The following is a 1,043-nucleotide window of genomic DNA, read 5'->3' on the forward strand; positions in this document are numbered from 1 at the left end:
AAAAATTATTTCATAGGCTTAGATTGGCCCAAGCCTTGTTGTCCTATGCTCCCTCAAGCTCAGTTTATTAATTCCACATGCTCTGCCTGAAGGCAGCTTTGTAACAACAAATGGCCAAGATACCCCCAGGCCTGTGTTAGCAGGATTGGCCAAGGGTCTCATAGGCTCACCACCTCCCAGCCTTATCTCAGGCCATGACCCCCACCCTCCCTATATTCCACTCATGCTTATATGTCTTCTTTTAAATCCTTATATTTGCTCTACTGACTCCCGCCACAGGGCCTTTATATATGACATCCACTTGCCTGTAAATAACGATGAAAGATCTGAGATTTTATGCTACTTGCAAATTAATGACATAACTACAGTTTCGTGGATGTTGGCAGAAGACACGAGACTCCTAGGTCAGAGACAAAGGACTTTATTATCCATGGTACAGCAAGCAGCATGAACTTCATGTTAGGGTCAGTTCCCCTTAGCCCTCAGGTCTCACAAGGGCAGTGTTGGAGGAGCCCAGGTAGATGCCATGAATGCAATGAGTTACATCACAGCAGAGGAATCCCTAGTTTAAGGAACTCAAATCTTTCATGATGAGCAGTAAGCCTTCCTCACCTTGGCCAGCCCAAGATAAGGGAGACATTATCTTTATTACTGGACAGTAAACAAATCTGCCTTTTGGTCTGGAGGGGGGACGCTATTTCTATCTTCCAAGGCTGTTTGCTGTACAAACATCACTAAAAAGATTGCCTAGAACAAAGAAGCCAGTGCCTCTGCACATAAGCTGTGCAGGAAATGCAGGCAACCCATGGAGAATTGCGGTTGGAGAATTGCGGATGGAGAATTGCAGCCTAACACTGCTCTTCTTTGACTGCTTTATTCTTCCTCATCCTTCAGATTGCAGCTCAGGAGTCACCTTGTCTGCAGAAAAGGCAGTCTCCAGGTGACAGAAAACCCGCTATAGGGCTGTCAGAGCACTTTGTACCTCTCTCCTTAACACCTGACTCAGTTATAATTTTATATGTTGTGTGTGGCAGTGGATGTTT

The sequence above is a fragment of the Homo sapiens genome, chromosome 1, assembly GCF_000001405.40.
Source record: "Homo sapiens chromosome 1, GRCh38.p14 Primary Assembly".
Classification (NCBI taxonomy): domain Eukaryota; kingdom Metazoa; phylum Chordata; class Mammalia; order Primates; family Hominidae; genus Homo; species Homo sapiens.